At 40.8% G+C, this 23,794-nt stretch overlaps 1 long non-coding RNA gene and 1 pseudogene across 1 annotated transcript; one reads left to right on the top strand and one right to left on the bottom strand.

Moving 5' to 3' along the window:
- ZNF37CP (zinc finger protein 37C, pseudogene) lies at positions 6,025-6,503 on the bottom strand (annotated as a pseudogene).
- Positions 16,190-17,163, top strand: LOC124902413 (uncharacterized). Its single transcript, XR_007062116.1, has 2 exons — positions 16,190-16,230; positions 16,924-17,163. It is a non-coding gene; the product is annotated as an uncharacterized LOC124902413 (long non-coding RNA).
- The last annotated feature ends 6,631 nt before the right edge of the window (positions 17,164-23,794 follow it).

The following is a 23,794-nucleotide window of genomic DNA, read 5'->3' as shown; positions in this document are numbered from 1 at the left end:
CCTTTGAGGGAGTACTTGTGTGAGGGAATCTAGGTGATATGGTTTGGATTCGTGTCCCTGCCCAAATCTCATGTCGGATTGCAATCCCCAATGCTGGAGGTGGGCCTGGTGGGAGGTGATTGCATCATGGGGGCTGATTTCCCCCCTTTGGTGCTGTTCTCGTGACACAGGTCTCAAGAAATGTAGTTGTTTAAATGTGTGTGGCACCTCCCACCTCTCTCTCTTCTTCCTGCTCTGGCCACATAAGACGTGCTTGTTTGCCCTTCACCTTCCACTATGAGTGTAAGTTTCCTGAGGCCTCCGAGTTATGTTTCCTATACAGCCTGCAGAACTGTGAGCCAATTAAAACTCTTCCCTTTATAAATTACCCAGTCTCAGGTAGTTCTTTATAGCAATGCGAGAATGCATATAGCAATGCGAGGACTAATATACTATGCATGTATACAAAGATATATCACGGCTAAAGGGGGTTGAGAGAGTCTTTTTCCCTTAGGGACACTGAATAAACTATGTGTTGTGCCCCTACACTTTGTGCCCCATCACATAAGGTGTGGAACTTTCCACTTGTGGTGTCCTGTTGGCCCTCAAAAAGTTCTGGGTTTTTTAGCATTTCAGATATCAGATTTTCAGATTAGGGATGCTCAACCTGTAATACTAACAAGAATTCAGCGGAGATAAAACAAAATAAAAATTATCAATCCAAATGAGAGAAAACGAGGAAAAAAAGGAAAAAGAACAAATGAGCAAGGAGGAAACACTCAGCAAAATAATATGAATCCAAACATTAAAAAATTGTATTAAATATATGTGGTTGAAATATCACAGTTAAGAAGTAGAAGTAAGACTGGGTGCAGTGGCTCACGCCTGTAATCCTAGCACTTTGGAAGACCGAGGCAGGCAGATCACTTGAGGTCAGGAGCTCGAGACCAGCCTGGTCAACACGGTGAAATCCTGTCTCTACTAAAAGTACAAAGTTTAGCTGGAAATAGCTTGAACCCGGGAGGCGGAAGCTGCAGTGAGCTGAGATTGTGCCACTGCATTCCAGCCCAGGCAACAGAGTGAGACACTGTCCCAAAAAAAAAAAAAAAAAAAAAGTAGAAGTTTCACATGAATTATAAAAGCAACATCCAACCACATGCTATTTTAAGAAATTCATGGCTGGGTGCAGTGGCTCATGCCTGTAATCCCAGCACTCTGGGAGGCCGAAGTAGGCAGATCACAAGGTCAGGAGTTGGAGACCAGCCTGGCCAACATGGTGAAATCTCGTCTCTACCAAAAATACAAAATATTAGCCAGGTGTGGTGGCACGTGCCTGTAATCCCAGCTACTCGGGAGGCTAAGGCGGAGAATCGCTTGAACCCAGGAGGCAGAGGTTGCAGTGAGCCAAGATTGTGCCATTGCACTCCAGCCTCGGTGACAGAGCAAGACTCCATCTCAAGAAAAAAAAAAAAAGAAATTCACTTTAAATATAAACAGATTAAAAGTATGGAAAAAGGTAAATAAAAGACAACTGGAAGAGCTAAATTAATATCAAAGTAGTGTTTAGAACAAAGAGTATTACTAGGTATAAAGAGAGACATTACATAATTATTAAGTGGTTAATTCATGAAGTGGACATAAGGATCCTAATATGTACAACTTAATAATGCTCCAAAATTCATAAAGCAAAAACCAAAATAATCAAAAGGAGAAATTCAATCCAAAATTGCAACTGAAGACTTCACTGTTGTGTATCACTGACACAGAAAGTTTTTGAGTGTTAGACCTTGACCTCATTTTCCCATTAGTCCTATGATTTTTATTGTACTCATTTGCAAAGATCAGTGATTCTTAGGAATGTATACACTGCATTTTAACATAATTCGCTTTATTAGAATACCGTCATTCTTCCCACTTGTTTTTAGCCTCCACTTAATCAAATTAAATACAGTCTATAACGCCCAGGTTTTCAATAACACATTCTCACATTTGCTTTAGAATTAGTTCCTCAATTAAATTCAGAGGCTACCACCAATATTTTTACCATGCTTTTTGTGTCACTTCTTGGTTATCTGATATTCATCCTCTAATAAAAGGTCTTAGGGAGAAAGGGCCCAGAATTCTTGCCTATTCAAAAAAAGGTTTCCTCTTTTTTGTTAAAGAATCGCTCTTTAACCTGGTATAAAGTTCTTAATTTGACCCACCCTAATGATTTTGTAGCAATTGCTCTGCAGACTTTTATCAGTTTTTTTTAGCAAACTTTGTTATGGAAAAGGCTGAGATCAGCTGGACTTTTTTCTTATATTGACTGGCTGTCAAAATGATTCTTTATCTTTGAAGTCTAGTAATATTATTAGGAATATATCACGATGTTGATCATTGTTGGTCTGCCTTCCTGAGGGATGGTTTGTCTTTTTATGTAGATTCAATTGTATCTTCTTTTCCCCAAAAAGTGTTATTGGAATATTTTCAATATTGGTTCTATTTATTTCATTTTCTACTTTGGGGAATCAACTGTATGTAATAGCATATATGTGAAATATCTTTTATACTATCTTCTTTATGCAATATTCACCTTTTATTTACTTCAGTTTCTTCTTGCTTGAAAGGCTTTCCACATTTATTTCTAATCTACATTTCAGCAATGCCTATTCTTTGGGAATCCTCCAATTTGCTTTTATTTTTTTTGAGATGGAGTTTCATTCTGTTGCCCAGGCTAGAGTGCAGTGGTGTGATCTTGACTCACTGCAGCCTCTGCCTGCTGGGTTCAAGTTATTCTCCTGCCTCAGCTTCCTAAGTAACTGGGATTACAGGTGTGCCGCCATTCCCAGCTAATTTTTTGTATTTTTAGTAGAGATGGGGTTTCACTATGTTGGCCAGGCCTGTCTCAAACTCCTGACCTCAAGTGATCCACTGGCCTTGGCCTCCCAAAGTGCGGGGATTACAGGTGTGAGCCACCGTCCCTGGCCCCAATTTGTTTTCTTTACTGTGGTTCTTATTTTCTCTTCCAATTCTTTTCTCAGCCTGACATCCCAGAATGCATTTTATTAAATGAATTAAAACATTATACTGTTGCCTTAACATCCTTCTTGAACTCTCATATCATGCAGGTAATCAATTCAATTAGTCCTTTTTGAAATTCATGGTTTATTATTTGGCCCAATTATTTATCTACTTTATGTCCACTTTGATCAGGTGACATTTCATCACCTACTTTTTTTTTCTAATCTTTTTCACCTCTTTTTTCTTGCAGTAGTTTTGTGGGGCATTTTATGCTGGTTCCTTTTGGATTACTCAGCTTCAAAGGACATGAGCTTTTACACTCCATCAGTTTTACTAGGTAAAGGGAACAGAGCCATGTCTTAACCTAACAAGAGAGCTTCTTATGAACAAGTGTTTTGCACATACACCAAACTCAGTTTATGCATCAACCCAGATTGTCGCTCCTTTCTTGCCAGAGTAGCCTTAGTAATGGCTTGCTCTGTTATCACCCTCTTGTACTTTCTCTTTGTCCTAACCAGCCTTATTCCCCATTTCCTCACTTCTGCAGTAGGTCTGCCCATCCTGACCAATAGTTATTGAGTAAATTTTTATTTCAAATTGTTTGTAGGAATACAAGCTAAGATAGCATGTAAGTTTATTTCCCCACATACAGGTGTCTGTAACATTTTTTTTCTGAAATGGAAAGTCTCATCTCTTGCATTGTCACAGAAAAATATGACTTGTGTGTCTGTTTCCATACGTAACCCTACATCAGCTTCACAGAACCAAACTGCATTCAAAGGAGCTCCAGCTGTCCTGTGCACAGCACTGATGTTATTCCAAGAGAGATTTAAGCTTTGCACCTCAGAGTATGTACTTTATCTCTGTCAAGTATATTACCAGTTCCTTCAAGCACCAGAAATGTTTTTGTTTCTTTTCATCTGCTGGTACATATAGACCTCCTTAATTTTTCAGTGATTCTGGCAGCATTTCCACTTGTATTGATTTGGGGTTTCAGATATCCTCTATTGTCATAAGATAAAGTTGTGTTGCTCTTTTTCCTTATTGCTTCTGGATGATCTGTAGACAGAGACAGAGAAAATGCTGACTTTACACATCCTGCTTCAGAGAAGCTCACTTTCTCCATGAAACACTGTGTCTTCACTTTGCTGCAGGATACTACATTCTTTGTTTTCCACTCATCCCCAAACTGCTTTTTCTTTCTTCTTTGCTCAGTCTCCTCACTTTCATGACTTCTGAAAGCTAATGACCCAGGGGACAGCCTCCAGTCCTACCCCAAAAGAGAGGTTATCTAATCCATCAGCTTTAAATACTAAACTTAAAAACTGTTAACTACTGCCATAAGCTGATAATTTCCAAATAAATATCTTCCTCTTGGACTTGCCCCAAACTACCTGCTTATATGCCCAAATGCTTATTCGCCATGTAAACCTGGATATTTTATAATCACCTGAAACTTTATGTGTGCAAACTAAACACGTAACAATCCCTCCAAAACTGTTTCTCCTCAATATCCCCCAACTGGTACCCACTTATCCAACTGCTCTGGGTGAAATCTTTAGAGTCACTCTTGACTCCTTTCTTTCTTTCATGTTCCATATCCCACTCAATAGCAAATGTTACAGGTCCCACATTCAAAACATATTGAAAAGCCAACCACTTTTTAATTTTTTTTTGAGACAGAGTCTTGTTCTGTCACCTAGGCTGGAGTGCAGTGATGCAATCTTGGCTCACCTCAGCCTCTGCCCCTCGGGTTCCAGCAATTCTCCTGCCACAGCCTCCTGGGTGGCTGGGATTACAGGCGCATGCCACCACGCCTGGCTAATTTTTGTATTTTTAGTAGAGATGGGGTTTCACCATGTTAGCCAGGCTGGTCTTGAACTCCTGACCTCAGGTGATCTGCCCACCTCAGCCTCCAAAAGTGCTGGGATTAAAGGCGTGAGCCACTGTGCCCAGCCAAAAGCCAATCACTTTTAATAATCACCACCACTCCAAAGTGTAAGCTACTATTGCCTTTTTGCAGACGGAAATACTCTCCTGACTCATGCTCCTGCTTTCATCCCTCTGTCCCCAATAGTATTTTCTTTGCTTACCAGCCAGAGATATTCATTTAAAAGACAAATCAGAAAATGTTCCTTATTGGGTCAATAGCTTCTCATTTTACTCAAAATAAAATCATAGTCCTTATCATGGCCATATGGCCCTACATAATTTGGGCTCCCATTACCTCTCCAACATCAACTCATACCACTCTTGCCTCATTCATTCTTTTCAATCCACACTGATATTTGTGTGTCCTCAAAGACCACACGTGCACTCCTGCCTCAGTGCCCTGCACTTGATGCTTTCCCTGCTATCAAGACTACCCCCAACTCCAACCCTCATATCATTCAAGTTCACAGCATCCAAAAGCCTACCTTTCTAAAGTTTAACACTCCATCATTCTTAACCTTCTTTAATTTCCTTACTATTTTACATGACCACTTGGCATTTCTGTGCATGTGTGGTAGTGCTGCCATTTTTGATCCTTATCTTTTTCTCCCAATCAGAAGGTAAGCTCCATGAGGTCATGGATAAAATTCAGTTCACTACTCTATTTCCAGCACCTAAAACTTGAGTGACACACAGTAGGAATGAACATACGAGCAAACTCTTTTTTTTTTTTTTTTTTTTTTGAGACAGAGTCTCGCTCTGTCGCCCAGGCTGGAATACAGTGGTGCAATCTCAGGTCACTGCAACCTTCACCTTCCTGGTTCAAGTGATTCTCCTGCCTCCGCCTCCCAAGTAGCTGGGATTACAGGCACCTGCCATCATGCCCGGCTAATTTTTGTATTTTTGTAGACATGGGGTTTCACCATGTTGGCCAGGCTGGTCTCAAACTCTGACCTCAGGTGATCTGCCCATCTTGGCCTCCCAAAGTGCTGGGATTACAGGCATTGAGCCACTGTGCCTGGCCATGCAAATTCTTGAGAATTAAAATAATTCATACCATGTCACTGGCATCCTTCTGCTTAATACATGCCAATTCACCTGGGTATCTCTGGCCTGGGGGCTCTTCCTCTAATGTCTATGGCTGCTCTCCTTGTTCCAATTTGAAGATCACTTCTGGTTTAGGGATGCAATATCCTGTGAACGGGAAATGACATGGAAACTAGGTGAGGATAATGGACTTTAGGGCCTCTGAAAGAGGGAGAAAATGAAACTTCAAAAGCCAATTTCAACCGTGTGTGGAAACAGTAAGAAAACAACAACATTCTTTACAGCACCCCAAACAGTTCTTCTGCTTAATACTCTGAATATCAAGTTTAGTTTAATTAACCTTAACAAAACTTCCACAAGTTTCAGCAACCAAAAAAATATGTACACACTAGGAGTCTACATGAAAAACAGTTCCTACCTACCCACTGAGACGAGGTGGCTGTAGTTCTCTAGCATCACATCCCTGTACAGGGTCATCTGAGCAGGGTCCAGATGCTGCCACTCCTCCTGGGTGAAGCCCACAGTCACATCTTCAAATGACAAGGATCCCTGAAACAGTACATTCCATTCAAATTTGAGCAATCAAAATTTAAAGACATAAACGCTGTAAGAGAATTATTATAATGTTCACCATTCACAGTTAATCCAAAAACGTGTTATAGGATGTCTACTTTTGCACTGTACTTGGTTGGAAAAAAGAAATCATAATAGATATACCCCACCGCCATGATAAGTAATTGGTGTCCCACCATGTGCCTATGTGTCACAAAGAATTCTACTTTGGGGGAATATGAAGACAACTAAAACAATGTTACTGTTCTCAAGGAAAATATAGTCTGATAAGCACAGGCAAACCTATAATCACATAACTACAATAAGATGTTGCAGGTACTATAGTGAAAAGATGTAAAAAGTTATCTAAGCTTACAAAGGGGGAGAAAAGTTCTATTCCTGCTATTTGGTTGGGTTTCACTGCGGAGGTGAAGATTTGAATTCTTAAACAACTAGAGTGTTATTCATGAACTCAGGCAATAGCATAAGAATGGATACAGCTATCATATGTAGTTAAAGGAGTAACAATAAGCACATAGAATAGTATTGTTTGGGACGCTGATAAGATAAAGAGCTATAGAGGTATTCAGGGAACATCATTGAGTAATTTTGGACTTGTTCCTATAGAATTAGGGGTATCCAAAATATTTGGACATTTTTCAATCCTGGGTAATCTTTTTTTTTTTTTTTTTTAAGATGGAGTTTCGTTTTTGTTACCCAGGCTGGAGTGCAATGGCGCAATCTCGGCTCACTGCAACCTCTGCCTCCTGGGTTCAAGCAATTCTCCTGCCTCAGCCTCCCGAGTAGCTGGGATTACAGGCATGCACCACCACACCCAGCTAAGTTTGTATTTTTAGTAGAGATGGGGTTTCTCCATGTTGGTCAGGCTGGTCTCGAACTCCCAACCTCAGGTGATCTGCCCGCCTTGGCCTCCCAAAGTGCTGGGATTACAGGCATGAGCCACTGCTCCTGGCCCTATCCTGGGTAACCTTTTTGTTAATTTATAAATTATAAACTTATATTGCCAACCTATATATTAAATTTCACTCTTTTTCTTAGATTATAATATATGTAGGTAGGCATTTGAATATTTTCTTCTTTAATCCAGTGGACTGTTTCATCTAGCTCAGAGATGACTGACTGCTGCGGGTAGTGGGAAGCCAATAAGTAGACACAAACCAGCAGAGAGAGAAAGAAGCACCATTCCCAGGTTAGCAACACAAACAGCTGGTAAATGTTCATGGCATACACCGAGAACTGGAAAATAGGGGAAAAAATAGGTCAGAGCGTAAAAGTGAGTGGAATAAGGCAAGAAAAGATATAAAAAGTTATAAGAATTAGAAGAAATTAAATAAAGCTATCAGTATCTGCAGATGTCATAATTCTGCATGAAGAACATGCAAGGGAAGCTACAAATTATTGTAAGTAAGAAGTGAATTCAGTAAGTTTTTGGATACAAGATCAATGTGTAAAAATCAAGTGGAGGCCGGGCACAGTGGCTCACGCCTGTAATCCCAGCACTTTGGGAGGCCCAGGAGGGTGGATCATGAGGTCAGGAGATGGAGACCACCCTGGGTAACACGGTGAAACCCCATTTCTACTAAAAATACAAAAAATTAGCTGGACTTGGTTGCATGAGCCTGTGGTCCCAGCTACTTGGGAGGCTGAGGGAGGAGAATCGCTTGAACCCAGGAGGCGGAGGTTGCGGTGAGCCGAGATCGCACCACTGCACTCCAGCCCAGATGACAGAGCGAGACTCCGTCTCAAAAAATAAATAAATAAAATGAAGTGGATTTCGGCTGGGCATGGTAGTTCACGCCTGTAATCCCAGCACATTGGGAGGCTGAGTGGGTGGATCACCTGAGATCAGGAGTTCGAGACCAGCCTGACCAACATGGAGAAACCCCATCTCTACTAAAAATACAAAATTAGCTGAACGTGGTGGCACATGCCTGTAATCCCAGCTACTCCAGAGGCTGAGGCAGGAGAATCGCTTGAACGCGGGAGGCGGAGGTTGTGGTGAGCCAAGATTGTGCCATTGCATCCCAGCCTGGGCAATAAGAGCAAAACTCCAGCTCAAAAAAAAAAAAAAAAAAAATCAAGTGGATTTCTATATACCAGCAACTAATTGTTTCAAAGTACCACCTATAGTGCCATCAAAAACAAGAAATACCAGCCAGGCACAGGGGCTCACGCCTGTAATCCCAGCACTTTGGGAGGCCGAGGTGGGCGGATCATGAGGTCAGGAGATCGAAACCATCTTGGCTAACACGGTGAAACTCTGTCTCTACTAAAAATGCCAAAAATTAGCCGGGCGTGGTAGCAGGCACCTGTAGTCCCAGCTACTCGGGAGGCTGAGGTGGGAGAATGGCATGAACCCGGGAGGCAGAGTTTGCATTGAGCCGAGATCGCGCCACTGCACTCCAGCCTGGGTGACAGAGTGAGACTACATCTCGAAAAAAAAAAAAAAAAACCTCAGAATAAATCTAACAAATCATTTTTAAGACAATTACACAGAAAATTATAAAGCATTCTCAAGAAAAACAAAAGAATATCTTTAAAAAAACAGAATATCTTTAAAAATAAAGGAACTAATTATAGTCATGGATTGGACAACTCAATATTACAAAGTTCTCAATTCTCCCTAAATTGGCCTATAAATTCTAGGTAATCCCAATCAAAAGCTTAGCAAATATTTTTGTGGAAACTGACAAGTTGATTCTCAAGCTTATATATAGAAATTCAAAGAACCAGCTCGGTGCGGTGGCTCACGCCTGCAATCCCAGCACTTTGGGAGGCCAACCCAGGCAGATCACAAGGTCAGGAGTTCGAGACCAGCCTGGCCAACACGGTGAAACCCCATCTCTACCAAAAATACAAAAATTAGCTGGGCATGGTGGCGCGCACCTGTAGTCCCAGCTACTCGGGAGGCTGAGGCAGAATCGCTTGAACCCCAGAGGCAGAGGCTGCAGTGAGCTGAGATCATGCCACTGCACTCCAACCTGGTGACAGATCTCAAAAAGAAAAAAAAAAAATTCAAAGAACCAAGAATGTTCCCATCATCATCAAATGAAGGCAAAAGGCCCGGAGTGATGGCTTACGCTTGTTAATCCCAGCAAATCTGGGAGGCCGGGGCAGGAGAATCACTTGAACCTGGGAGGTGGAGGTTGCAGTGAGCTAAGGCTGTGCCACTGCACTCCAGCCTGGGCGAGAGAGCTAGACTGCACTTGAAAATAAATAAATAAATAAATAAAAATGGAGGCAACATTTTTAAAACTAAAAATAAATTTTTTTAAACCACCAAGAATGGCCAAGGCAGTCTTAGAGAAGAACAAAAAAATGTGTGAACTCACACTAATTGTGGTTGTCAGAATTCTAAGATGAGCCTCAATGACTTACATCGTTATGTAATCTCCTCCTGTTAGTGTGAGAATTTGTAGCTCCAGTAAAGATTATATTACATTATATGGCAAATGGATTTTGCAGTTATAATTAAGATACCTTAATCAGTTTATTTTGAGTTGATCAAAAGAAAGATTGTCTTGGTGGGCCTTACCCAATCAGGTGAGTCCTTAAAAAGAAGGTAAAGTGGCCGGGCATGGTGGCTCATGCCTGTAATCCCAGCACTTTGGGAGGCCAACGCGGGCAGATCACGAGGTCAGGGGTTCAAGACCAGCCTGGCCAACATGGCGAAACCCCATCTCTACTAAAAATACAAAAATTAGCTGGGTATGGTGGCGCGCGCCTGTAATCCCAACTACTCAGGAGGCTGAGGCATGGGAATCGCTTGAACCTGGGAGGCGGAGGTTGCAGTGAGCAGAGATCGCGCCACTGCACTCCAGCCTGGGTGACAGAGTGAGACTCTGTCTCAAAAAAGGAAGGTAAAGTATCAGAGAAAAGTTCCTACTGGCCTCTAAGAAGAAGCAAACTATTATGGGTTCTCATTTATGGGAAATGAATTCTGCCACATGTGTATGGGGGACTCTGAGCCTCCATTAAGATTAGGTGTCTCAGGCAATATCTCGGTTGTGGCCTTATGCCTGAGCACAGGACCTAACTAACCCATTCCCAGACTCCTGATCCATGGAACCTGAGGTAATAAATTTGTGTTGTTTTGTGGCAAACTGTGGTAACTTATAACGAAGCATTAGAAAACTAACACACTAGTGGATATAAGAATTTATTATAGAGTAATTTAAGACAGTGTGGTATTGGTGAAAGAATACATTGAAACACCAATAGAAGAAAAGTATGGTCTAGAAACAGACCTTCAAACATGGATACCTGATTTATTTTTAAAAGTTTCACAGCTGAGCAGTGAGGAAAAGGACAGTCTCAATAAACTATGCTGATTAAATGGGTTTAAATATGGGGAAAACTTGACTTCAATCTCACACAATATGTGAGAATCAATTCCAGATGAATTGTAGGTTAAAATGTGATGAGTAAAAACAACAGAACTTCAAAAACATAACATGAAACTATATTCACAAGCAAAGTTTTTTTTAAAGCAAGATACAAAAGCACTAACCATAAAGGAGAAGACTGAAATAAACTGGACCACATTAAGAATGTCAATTAATCAAAAGACACCATTAATGCAAAAAAAATGCAAATCAGAGAGAAAAAAATATTGACAACATATCGAACTTTTAAAGGGACTATACCCAGAATATATAAAATACTTCTAAAATCAATACAAGCAAGATGACCTAATAGAAAAATGGGGGAAAAGATCTGAACAGTCATTTCACAAAAGACAACACTAACATGGCCAATAAACATGCTAAAAGTGCTCACCCTAAATAGTCAACCATTGGGAAAGATTATTGGGAAGAGGATGTTCACATAGTCTCCATATTCCAGCCAAAGATTATTAGTTTAAAAAAAGGAAAAGAAAGGCTGCTTTTCAAATGGAGATATTTGGTACCATTACAAATAGTGGTACAAAGAGATCATATAAAAATTACATAATAAACTGGCATAAGATAAATGTATAGGCTGGGCGTGGTGGCTCACGGTTGTAATCCTAGCATTTTGGGAGGCCGAGGCAGGCGGATCACGAGGTAAGGAATTCGAGGCCAGCCTGGCCAACACAGTGAAACCCTGTCTCTACTAAAAATACAAAAATTAGCCAGGTGTGGTGGCAGGTGCCTGTAATTCCAATTCCTTGGGAGGCTGAGGCACAAGAATCACTTGAACCTGGGGGGTGGAGTTTGCAGTGAGCCGAGATCGTGCCACTGCACTCCAGCCTGGGCGACAGAGCTAGATTCATTCTCAAGAAAAAAAAAAAAGAAAAATGTATAATCTGAATCTAATTGTGAAGAAAAACAAATCAGTCAAATACAGATGTGCAGGCATTCTACAACAGTGCTTCTAAGCGTGGTTGCATATCTCCTGGGTATGGGAATATTTAAAGAGCTTCAAATGATTCTAAAGAGCAGTTAAATTCAAGAATAACTGTTCAACAAGACTCCTGACCAGGACTTATTTTAAATGCCCATTATTATGAAGGAATAAAAAAAACCATCTTTGATTGGCTCTTGGGCCCAGCAAAGCTACAGAGGACATTTTTGGGGAAAATGGAAATTTTGTTTTGTTTTTTGAGACGGTAGCTCATTCTGTCACTCACACTAGAGTGCAGTGGTACGATCATAGCTCACTGCAGCCTTGACCTCCCAGGTTCAAGTGATCCTTCTGCCTCAGCTTCTTGAGTAGCTGGGACTAAAGGTGCACACCGCCATGTCCAGCTAATTTTTAAAAATTTTTTGTAACATGGGGTCCCATTATGTTACTCAGGGTGGTCTTGTACTCCTGGGCTCAAGCAATCCTCCCACCTTTGCCCCACAAAGTGTTGGGATTATAGGCATGAGTCACTGTGTCTGGCCTGGAAAAATTACACATAGATAAAGACAGAGAGAGAACGTGTGGAAGAATACTTAAAACTGTTGAATCTAGGTAAACTGGTGTTTATTGTCCTCTAAAAAGGACAAACTGGGAATAAGTATCTGTAACTTAAGTGACAAAGAAAAGGCAAAGCGTTCCTAAAAATACAGAAGGGAAGGCTGGGCGCAGTGGCTCACACCTGTAATACCAGCGCTTTGGGAGGCCAAGACAGGCGGATCACCTGAGGTCAAGAGTTCGAGACCAGCCTGGTCAACATGGCAAAACCCTGTCTCTACTAAACATACAAAAATTGGCCGGGCATGGTGGCTCATGCCTGTAATCCCAGCACTTTGGGAGGCTAAGGCGGGCAGATCATGAGGTCAGGAGTTCAAGACCATCCTGGCCAACATAGTGAAACCCATCTCTACTAAAAACACACAAAAAATTAGCCAGACATGGTGACAGGTGCCTGTAGTCCCAGCTACTCACCAGGCTGAGGCAGGAGAATCAATTGAACCTGGGAGGCAGAGGTTGCAGTGAGCTGAAATCGTGCCACTGCACTCCAGCCTGGGTGACACAGCGAGACTCTGTCTTAAAAATAAATAAATAAATAAATATACAAAAATTAGCTGGGTGTAGTGGCAGACGCCTGTAATCCCAGCTACTTGGGAGGCTGAGGCAGGAAAATCACTTGAACCCAGGAGGCAGAGGTTGCAGTGAGCCAAGATCGTGCCACCGCACTCCAGCCTGGGCGACACAACAAGACTCCATCTCAAAAAACAAAACAAAACAAAACAAAAAACAAATGATTACCCTTTAAAGTTAAAAAAAAATGTAACTTAAAATTGCATTGAACCATTCACTCCTATCAGACTGGCAGAAACCCAAAAGAATAACACATACACTTAGTTTGGTTTGCTACAGGCATAAAAGCATACTCATATCCTGCTCGTGAGAATACAAAATAAGCAGCCATTATGAAGTGAAATATGGCAGTATTCAGTTACATTATATATGTATGAATTTACCACTGGACCTAGAAATCCCACTTCTAAGAATCTACCACAAAGACACATTAGCCAAAAATTGAAAAGATGGGGCCGGGCGCGGCTGCTCACACCTGTAATCCTAGCACTTTGGGAGGCCAAGGCGGGCGGATCACCTGAGGTCAGGAGTTCAAGACCAGCCTAACTAACATGGTGAAACCCCATCTCTACTAAAAATACAAAAAAAAGTTAGCCAGACGTGGTGGGCACCTGTAATGCCAGCTACTCAGGGGGCTGCGACAGGGAGAATCTCTCGAACCCAGGAGGTGGAGGTTATAGTGAGCCGAGATCATGCCATTGCACTCCAGCCTGGGCAACAGAGCAAGACTCCATCTCCACAAAAAAAAAAAAAAAAAAAAAATTGAAAAGATGTAGGCACAAAGCTAAAGCAGTATTTATATTGCAAAAGACTGGAAACAACCCAAATGTTGATTAGCAAACAACTGGTTGAAGGTATGTCGTACACTCACACTACAGAGTGCTAAGCGACTGAAACAAGACCTGAGGAAGACCTGCATATCCCACTGCAGAGTGAACTCCAGGTGCTATTATATGACCAAAGGAAGTCTGAGAAAATCAAGTATAATGTGGCAGCTTTTATACACAAAAGGAAAATATGTGTATCCCCATACAGATCTGCTTATATTAAAAATAACAATAAAAAGATAAGTCATAAAACAAAATAAATCATTCTTCATAAGGTGAGGAAAGGAACAAGGAACCAGATGGAGGGAAAGGGATGAATCCCAGACTGATCTCTGAATATACTTTGCTTTACAGATTTGTCTTTGGAAACATTTAAATATTTTTCATAATTATAAAAAATGATTTTCAAAATAAAAACTCTAAAAACAAACAGCAATGAAACAAATAAATCTAATTATATCTAAAGTTGATGCCGTACCACTCAGAGAATTATTTCTGCTAAATTTAAAACAAAGGAATCTAACTGTATGTCACAATGGGGCTGTGCCTTAAGGACAAAAGAACTGCAAAATAAATCTTAAACTGGTTTCAAAAATATTTTGTTAACAATAATATTGGTATTGTTATTTTGGTATATTATGCTTTACAGGATAAAGCAAATAATCATGTTAATGCCCTTTGGAATATAGATTTTCAAATTAAGAAAAAAGGCCAGGTACGGTGGCTCACAACTATAACCTCGGCACTTTGGGAGGCCAAGGCGAGTGGATCACTTGAGGTCATGAGTTGGAGACCAGCCTGGCCAACATGGTGAAACCCCCTCTCTTCTAAAAATACAAAAATTGGCTGTAATCCTAGCACTTTGGGAGGCCAAGGCGGGTGGATCACTTGAGATCAGGAGTTTGAAACCAGCCTGGCCAAAATGGTGAAACCCCATCTCTACTAAAAAAAAAAAAAAAAAAAAAATTGAAATTAGCCAGGCATGGTGGTTGGGCACCTGTAATCCCAGCTAATTGGGAGGCTGAGGCAGGACAATCGCCTGAACCCAGGAGGCAGAGGTTGCAGTGAGTCGAGATAGCACCATTGTACTCAAGCCTGGGCAACAAGAGTGAAACTCCGTCTTGGGGAAAAAAAAAAAATTAGCAGGGCGTGGTAGTAGGCGCCTGTAATCCCAGCTACTCAGGAGGCTGAGGCAGCAGAATTGCTTGAACCCAGGAGGCAGAGCTTGCTGTGAGCCAAGATGGTGCCACTGCACTCCAGGCTGGCTGACAGAGTGAGACTCCACCTCAAAAAATAATAATAATAATAATAAGCCGGGCACAGTGGCTCACGCCTGTAACCCCAGCACTTTCGGAGGCAGAGGCAGGCAGATCACCTGAGGTCGGGAGTTCGAGACCAGCCTGACCAACATGGAGAAACCCCATCTCTACTAAAAATACAAAATTAGCCGGGCATGGTGGCACATGCCTGCAATCCCAGCTACTCGGGAGGCTGAGGCAGGAGAATCGCTTGAACCAGGGAGGCGGAGGTTGCAGTGAGCAGAGATTGTGCTATTGCACTCCAGCCTGGGCAATAAGAGCGAAACTCTGTCTCATAAAAAAAGAAAAATAACACAAAGATTACTATAAAGGATTTCAAATTTATAAATTAGTAAGAAATATAGAACAAAATCAATAGAAAAGTACGTAAGGTATATGAACAAAAGAAAACTGAAAGGCTCAACCCTACAATCAGAGAAATTGAAATCAAAACAGTGAGATTTTCTTTATCCACCAGATTGGCCATAATTTTAAAATATGACTATATTAATTGCTAGGAAGAAGATAAAGAAAATGGTACTCTCGGCCAGGTGCAGTGGCTCATGCCTGTAATCCCAGCACTTTGGGAGGCTGAGGTGGGCGGATCACAAGGTCAGGAGATCGAGACCATCCTGGCAAACATGGTGAAACCCCGTCTTTACTAAAAATACAAAAAATTAGCCGGGCGTGGTGACGGGTGCCTGTAGTCCCAGCTACTAGGGAGGCTGAGGTAGGAGAATGGCATGAACCCAGGAGGAAGAGCTTGCAGTGAGCGGAGATTGTGCCACTGCACTCCAGCCTGGGCGACAGAGCGAGACTCCATCTCAAAAAAAGAAAAAAAAAAGAAAATGGTACTCTCATAAACGGCTGTGGTACGGTAACTTGGTAGACAAACTGGTAGCACCAAGTAACTCTGGAAATCCTTTCTCGCTCTGTTGCGCAGGCTGGAGTGCAGTGGCTCGATCATAACTCACTGCAGCCTTGAACTCCTGGGCTCAAGCAGTCCTCTTGCCTCAGACTCCTGATTAGCTGGGACTGGAAGCATGCACCACCATGCCCAGGTAAGTAAAATTTTTTTTTTGTAGAGACAGGGTCGCCCTATGTTACCCAGGCTGGTCAAAGACTCCTGGGCTCAAGCAATCCTCCCACTTTGGCCTCTCGAAGTGCTGGGATTACAGGCATAGGCCACTGTGCCCAGCCTGGAAATCCTTTCTCTTTATGCAGACAAAGTAAAGGATGTTTACTGAAGTATTACACACAATAAGGAAAAACGGAAATGACCTAAATGCCTTTCAATGAAAAAATGGATAAATGCAGTATGGTCTCAGAATATATGGAATAAAAAGGAATAAACTAATCAACTTGGATAGATCTTCTGTGCAATATTAATTTTTTTTTACAAGCTGTAGTAACATATATACCAAATGAGATGGGCTATATAATTCTAAAAAACATAATAAACAAAAATATATACTCTTCCATGATACAAACATACATCTCCACGTACTTATACAAAGAGAGTAAGAATCCAATGCATGTATGTAAATAGGATGGAACAGGGAGTCAAGGATCAAAACCCAGATGTGGTGGGCTGAACAATGGCCCCACAGATATCCACGTCCTAATCCCTGGAACCTGTGACTATGACTATAAATGGCAAAAAGGACTTTGCAGATGTGATTATGAAACTTGAAAAGGGGAGATTGTCCTGGATTATCCAGGTTGGCCATAAATGTAATCACATGTCTTTATAGAGTCAGAGGGACATCTGACTACAGATGAGAAGGCATTTTACAGACAAAGGCTGACTGAAGTCATCACGTGCTTTGAAAATGGAAGGGGCCATGATAACCTGAAATAAGCAAGAAAACAGATTCTCCCTTCACAGCCTCCAGAAGGTACCAGTCCCGCCACCACCTTGATTTTAGCCATATGACTAATTGCAGACTCCTGATTTCCAGAACGCTAAGATAATAAATGTGTGGTTTATGCTACTACATTTGTGATAATTTGTTACATTCAGAAACAGGAAACCAATACATGGGGGATATGTTATTTACCACGAGGTTGAAAAGATTCCTTGAATGAGATGTCATTAGAAGGAAGGTAAGAGAAGAGGGTGGTGTGGCGCCACAGGAACCAGCAGCACAGGCTGTGCAGAAAACAGGCAGTAGGGTCAGGTGCTGCAGAAAGGTCAACTAACTCAAAACCTGCAAAATACTGGTGACAGACCACAGTCTGGGAAAATGGCAGAGAGGGGAACGCCCAGGGTCCATCCCTCCACAGAAATACGGGAAAAAAAAGTCAGAGCAGCTTTATTAGAATTCTGGAATATAGACAAAGGTTTACAGCAAGTAAGCAAATCTTAATCAGGAGAATGGCAGCTGAAACCTGGTAGGAAAGATCTATGTTGTTTTAACTCACCTTCGCCCCATCCCCCTCACAAGCTGTATGAGTTTGCTAGCGCTGTCATAATAAAGTACCAGAGACCGGGCAGCTTGAATGACAGAAATGTATTTTCTCACAGTCTGGAGGCTAGAAGTCCAAAGTCGAGGTGTCAGGAGGGCTGCTTCCTTCTGAAAGCTCTGAAGGAAGGTTCTGTTCTAGGATTCTCTCCTTGGCTGGTAAACAGCCACCTTCCCCATGTCTTCACATGGTCTTCCTTCTGTACATCTCTCTGTGTCCAAATTTCCCTTTTAAAAGGACAACAATTGATATGGTTTGAATTTGGGTCCCCGCCTAAATATCATGTCAAACTGTAATCTCCAATGTTGAAAGAAGGGGCTGGTGGGAGATGACTGGATCATGAAGGCGGATTTCCTGCTTGCTGTTCTCATGATAGTGAGTTCTCACAAGATCTGGCTGTTTTTAAAAGCGTGTAGCACCTCCCCCTTCACTCTCTTCCTCCTGCTCTGGCCATGCAAGATGTGCCTCTTTCCTCTTTGCCTTCTTCCATGGTTGTAAGTTTCCTGCGGTCTCCCCAGTCATGCTACCCGTACAACCTGCAGAACTATGAGCCAATTAAACCTCTTTTCTTTATAAATTACCCAGTTTCAGGTGTTTCTTTATAGCAGTGCAAGAATGGACTAATTAATACACCAGTCATATTAGATGAGGGCCCACCCTCATGACTTCACTTTAACTTTATTATCTCTGTAAATAATCTATCTCCAAATAAGGCAATGTTCTGAGGTACTGTGGGTGGAGCCTACAATGAGTGAAATTTGCAGGAGGCACAATTCAACCCATAACACTGACTCAGTAACAGTCCTTAAGATGAAATCCCGTATTCCTGGTATGAGTTCCCAGTGCTTGAAGGAGCAGAATAGAGCTGGTTCTCAAACAATTGGGGTTGACTGTTTTGCTCTGTCTGGTGGTGGCCGAAAGAGTAACACACAGTGCTAAGAACTCTCAGACAGAGAAATGACAATGTGGCAGGCACCTATTGAAATCATTTAAAGGTAAATGAACCAGCTGTGGCCTTTGGGGCAAAGGATATTAGTTGGGGTGAACAACAGATACATAAAAATAAGCCTGGGAGGAAGAATGAGATGCTTTTGGGCTTTGGAAAAGCTTCTATATACTCCTGGGAATCCAGATGATGACACAGCAATCTAGGACAAGGCCCATGCTCAGAAAAGACCTGAGAAGGCCCTAATCTTTCACCTCTGTTAAGTGGTAAAACTATCTCTGCTTGTAGATGACATTTTCTTATGAACAGAAAATCCTTGAGAATCCACAGGGAAACCATTAGAGCTAATAAAGAAATTCAAGGCTGGGCGCGGTGGCTCATGCCTATAATCCCAGCATGTTGGGAGGCCAAGGCGGGCAGATCACAAGGTCAAGAGATCGAGACCACCCCTACCAACATGGTGAAACCCTGTCTCTACTAAAAATACAAAAATTAGCTGGGTGTGGTGGTGCATGCCTATAGTCCCAGCTACTCCAGAGGCTGAGGCAGGAGAATCACTTGAACCCAGGAGGCGGAGGTTGCAGTGAGCCGAGATTGCGCCACTGCACTCCAGCCTGGCAAAAGAGCAAGAGTCCATCTCAAAGAAAAAAAAAAGAAAAAAAGAAAAAAAAGAAATTCAATAAGTTATAAGACCAAGATTAACACAGAAAAATTAGCCATTTTTCTATAGCAATTAGAATCCAAGAAGTAAATTTTAAAAACAATTTATAATTTAAAAAAAATTCTAACTACAATAGCATCAAAAGAATACTTAGGAATAGATTTAACCAAGTAGGTCTGAGACTTATACACTGAAAACCATAAAACTTTTGCTGAAAGAAATTAAAGACCTAAATAAAGGGACAGATATTCCTTGTTCATGAATAGAATACTTAATATGGTTAAGAAGGCAGTACTTCCCAAAGTGTTCTGCAGATTCAATACAAAATCGAATAACCTTTTTTGCAAAAACGGACGTGACCGTCAAACTCATGGAACTGCAAGAGACCCTGAAGAGCCAAAACAATTTTGACAAAGATAAATAAATTGGGACTTACACTTTCTGGCTTCAAGACTGCTACAAAGCTACAGTAAACAAAACAGTATGGAACTGGCACAAAGACAGACATATAGATCAACTGAATGGAATTAAGAGTCCAAAAAGAAACCCATACATCTATGGTCAACTGATTATCAACAGGGGTGCCAAGACAATACAATGGGAGAAATAATAGTTTTTTCAAAATTAGTTTTGGGACAACTGGATATCCACAGGCAAATAAATGTGAAGTTGGACCACTTCCTCACACTATAAACAAAAATTAATTCAAAATAGGTCAAAGTCCTAAATGTAAGCGCTAAAACCATAACACTCTTAGGAGAAAATATAGAAGTAAATCTTCATGACCTTAGGTTTGGCAATGGATTCTTAGATATGACATCAAAAGTATGTGCAACAAAAGAAAATATACATTAACCAGACTTCATCAAAATTAAAACCTTTTATGAATTAAAGGATACTATCAAGAAAATGAAAAGAAAACTCATAGAATGAAATATTTGAAAATCATATATCTAACAAGGGTCTAGTACACGAGAGTACTCTTAACAATAAACCCAATTTAAAAATGGACAAAGGACTTGAATAGACACTTCTGCAAAAGAGATATACAAATGGCCAAGAAGCACATGAAAAGGTGCTCAAATGCATTAGTCACTAGGAAAAAGCAAATCAAAACCACAATGAGATACCACTTAACAAACACTAGAATGGCTATAATTTAAAAAATAAACAATAACAGGTGTTGTCAAGGATGTGGAGAAACTGTAATCCTCAAACATTGTTGGTGGAAATGTAAAATTATGCAGCGCTGTGAAAAAGTTTGGTGATTCCTCAGTAAAAGACAAAATATATGATCCAGCAATTCTATGTCTAGGTATATATCCAGAAAACTGAAAACAGGTGTTCAAACAGAAATTTATATACATATATTCATAGATGTACTATTCGCAATAGCCATTAGGTATAAACAACCCAAACATCCATCAACTGATGAATAAACAAAATGAGGTGCATCCATGTAAGAGATTATTCAGCAATAAAAAGGAATGAGGTCAGATACATGCCACAACTCAGATGAACTTTGAAAACATTATACTAGGTGAAGGATGGACATACAAAACACATATTGGCTAGGCACAGTGGCTCATTCCTGTAATCCCACCACTTTGGGAGGCGAAGGTGGGAGGACTGCTTGAGCCCAGGAGTTCAAGGCTACAGTGAGCTATGATTGAGCCACTGCACTCCAGTCTGCCCTGTCTCTATTAAAAAAAAAAAAAAAAAACAAGCAAAACCCATAGTGTATGATTACATTTATGTAAAATATCCAGAATAGGAAAGTCCATAGAGACAGAAAGTATATTAGTGGTTGCGAGGCAGTGCATTTAGGGGTGAATGGAAAGTGACTGTAAAGCATATACGTTTCCTTTTGGAATGATGAAATGCTCTGGAACTAAATAGTGATGATGGTTGCACAACATTTTGACTATGCTAAATGCCACTGAATTGTGCACTTTAAGTTGTTAATTTTATGTTATGTATATTCTACCGCAATAAACAAATATATCATTGGTGATGTTTACAGACAAAAGTCCAACAAATGGTAGGAAATAATCCATTCTGCATGAAGCATGGGTTGAAAATTTAATTAAGTGCAGAAACATTTGCCAGAAAATAATCTCTTAACTGAATATTCTACAGATTAAGCGACTTAAGAATTTTGGAAAGTTATTTTAAAGACATACCATCAATTTATTCTCTATATGTTTAAAGTTTTATCCAGAAAAAAAAAACAAAAAAAAAAAACAAGACTAACTGAAAGCCATTTACATGGTCTCTAGTAACATGGTCCCTAAAAAACTTCATTAATTCAGTGTGGCTGAGTACCTTGCTTTTTGCTTTCACTAAAGAATAATTACAGGTGTTTATTTCATGGTTGCCACCAGAAGGCTGTCCATCATTGTATAAAAAGCAAAAGAAAGGCCAGGCACGGTGGCTCACACCTGTAATCCCAGCACTTTGGGAGGCCGAGGTGGGCAGAGCACGAGGTCAGGAGCTCAAGACCAGCCTGGCCAGCATGGTGAAACCCCGTCTCTTCTAAAAATACAAAAAATCAGCCAGGCACTGTGGCACTCACCTGTCGTCCCAGTTACTCAGCAGGCTGAGGCAGGAGAATCGCTTGAACCCTGGAGACAGAGGTTGCAGTGAGCTGTGATCGCGCCACTGCACTCCAGCCTGGGTGACAGAGCGAGACTCTGTCTCAAAAAAAAAGGAAAAAAAAAAAAGCAAAAAAAAATATTTTTTCAGCTTTAATATCAGTCTTCACATATGTACCAAAAGGAACCAGGTAGCATCATTCTCATCAGCAATGAAAGCCATTAACAGATCATCTCTCTTTGCCATAGTTACCAGAAAGGTCAGAAATATTTGCAATTCAAATCTCATAACTAACTCCACATGATGTGTGTGTGTATATATATCAATATATACACATATATAGATATATACACATATATACAGATATCAATACCTGTGTATGTGTATATATATATTGCATATATATACACAATATACACACAGATAGGTGTATATATACACATATATACATACACATATATATGTGACATATATATGCCAACTTTGCCCTTGTGATCTGCTATTCCAATGCTATTGGCCTATAGACCTGAACCCTAGCATCATCGCCTGTAATCTTGTTAAAAATGAAAATTCTCAGGCCCTGTTCTGTTTTAATAAACTTTCCAGGTTACTTTTATGCACACTGACATTTGAGAATCATTGTGTTAACCCTGTTTCTTTGAAGTTCATTGTATCTATTTCGACTTTTCCAATTTGAGTATAAGGGTCAACCTGCTAAGATCCACTGTAAAGCAAAGTACAGAATTACTTCATCAACTCACATAGGATTTCTTCATTTTATGCTGATCCTGGAATAATGTAGAAATCTCTGAAGGTTTACCTGGGATAAAAAAAAATGAAGCAAGTCACTAGAAATATGAAATGCTTTGGATTTGCCTACTTAAAAAACTGCAAACATCACTGGGCGGGGGGTAGGGGGGTTGGTAAAACGTCTCTCTGTGGGAGAACATCCCTTTCAACCTGGAGAAGAGGCAGGAAGAAACCCATCAAGATGCACCCACGTGTATATTGGTGACAGTTACATGATCACATGGAGCTTGGATGTGTCCTTTTTTTTTTTTACTGAGTGGATATAACTGTTTTCGGCTGATTTTTTAAAACATGTGTACCACTTTGTGTTCTCAAAGAAATAAAACAATTATAACAAAAATGATTAAACAAATCACAACACACTAAATGCAGTAAAGCTATGTAAGCCTTCATCAGAAGTTTCATCGAACACGGATTTTTTTTCCTCGTTTTACTCCTTAAGTTAAAAGAACTCAACCAAAGCTATGAAAGAAGGATTGGAGGCACTTTAAGGTAAGGTCACTTAAGCTGTTTTTCTACAGTATATGTAGTTTCTCAAAAGACTGCCTTTTAAAGATGTCTGTTTTAACAGTGATAATGTGATTAGCACCGGCCTGGGTGTGAGGAGACTCAACGTCTACTCTCAGCTCTGCCACTAACACAAAGCCAGGGAAATTCACTTACACTCTCAGGGCCAATTTTTCCCAAGCTCAAACAAGACAAACAGAAAACCTTTCTTGTACTACTGTCGTACAATGTCAGAAGAAAGGAATTCATCAGCATATCTTTAGATGCCAGATTCATGGAGTGCAAAGATCTTGGGATCTGGGAAGAGGGAGTGAAAAAAGAGTGGGGGCTATACTGGGATTGGTGAAGACAGAATATGCTCAGCTCTAGCTCTAAAACAACTTTACCCACAGCACATCTCCCAAACTCCTCCAGTGAAGCTATATTTCCTGCATGGCCTAACCCTCCTTCATTCCTCTCAGCCCACTTTCCTACTCTCTTTTGAAATCTGGTGCAGACCTTCTCTGTGGCCTGTCTTCTGGATGTGGCAACATCATCCAAATCTTACTTATTCTGAGCCTTGTGTGCAAATCTAGTATCTGCTCCTTTCTGGGAGCTATTGCCTCTGCTCAGAAACTCCGATTTGGAGTGATTCTTTTCC

The sequence above is a fragment of the Homo sapiens genome, chromosome 10 (assembly GCF_000001405.40).
Source record: "Homo sapiens chromosome 10, GRCh38.p14 Primary Assembly".
Classification (NCBI taxonomy): domain Eukaryota; kingdom Metazoa; phylum Chordata; class Mammalia; order Primates; family Hominidae; genus Homo; species Homo sapiens.
This window is presented reverse-complemented; position numbering and strand designations above follow the sequence as displayed.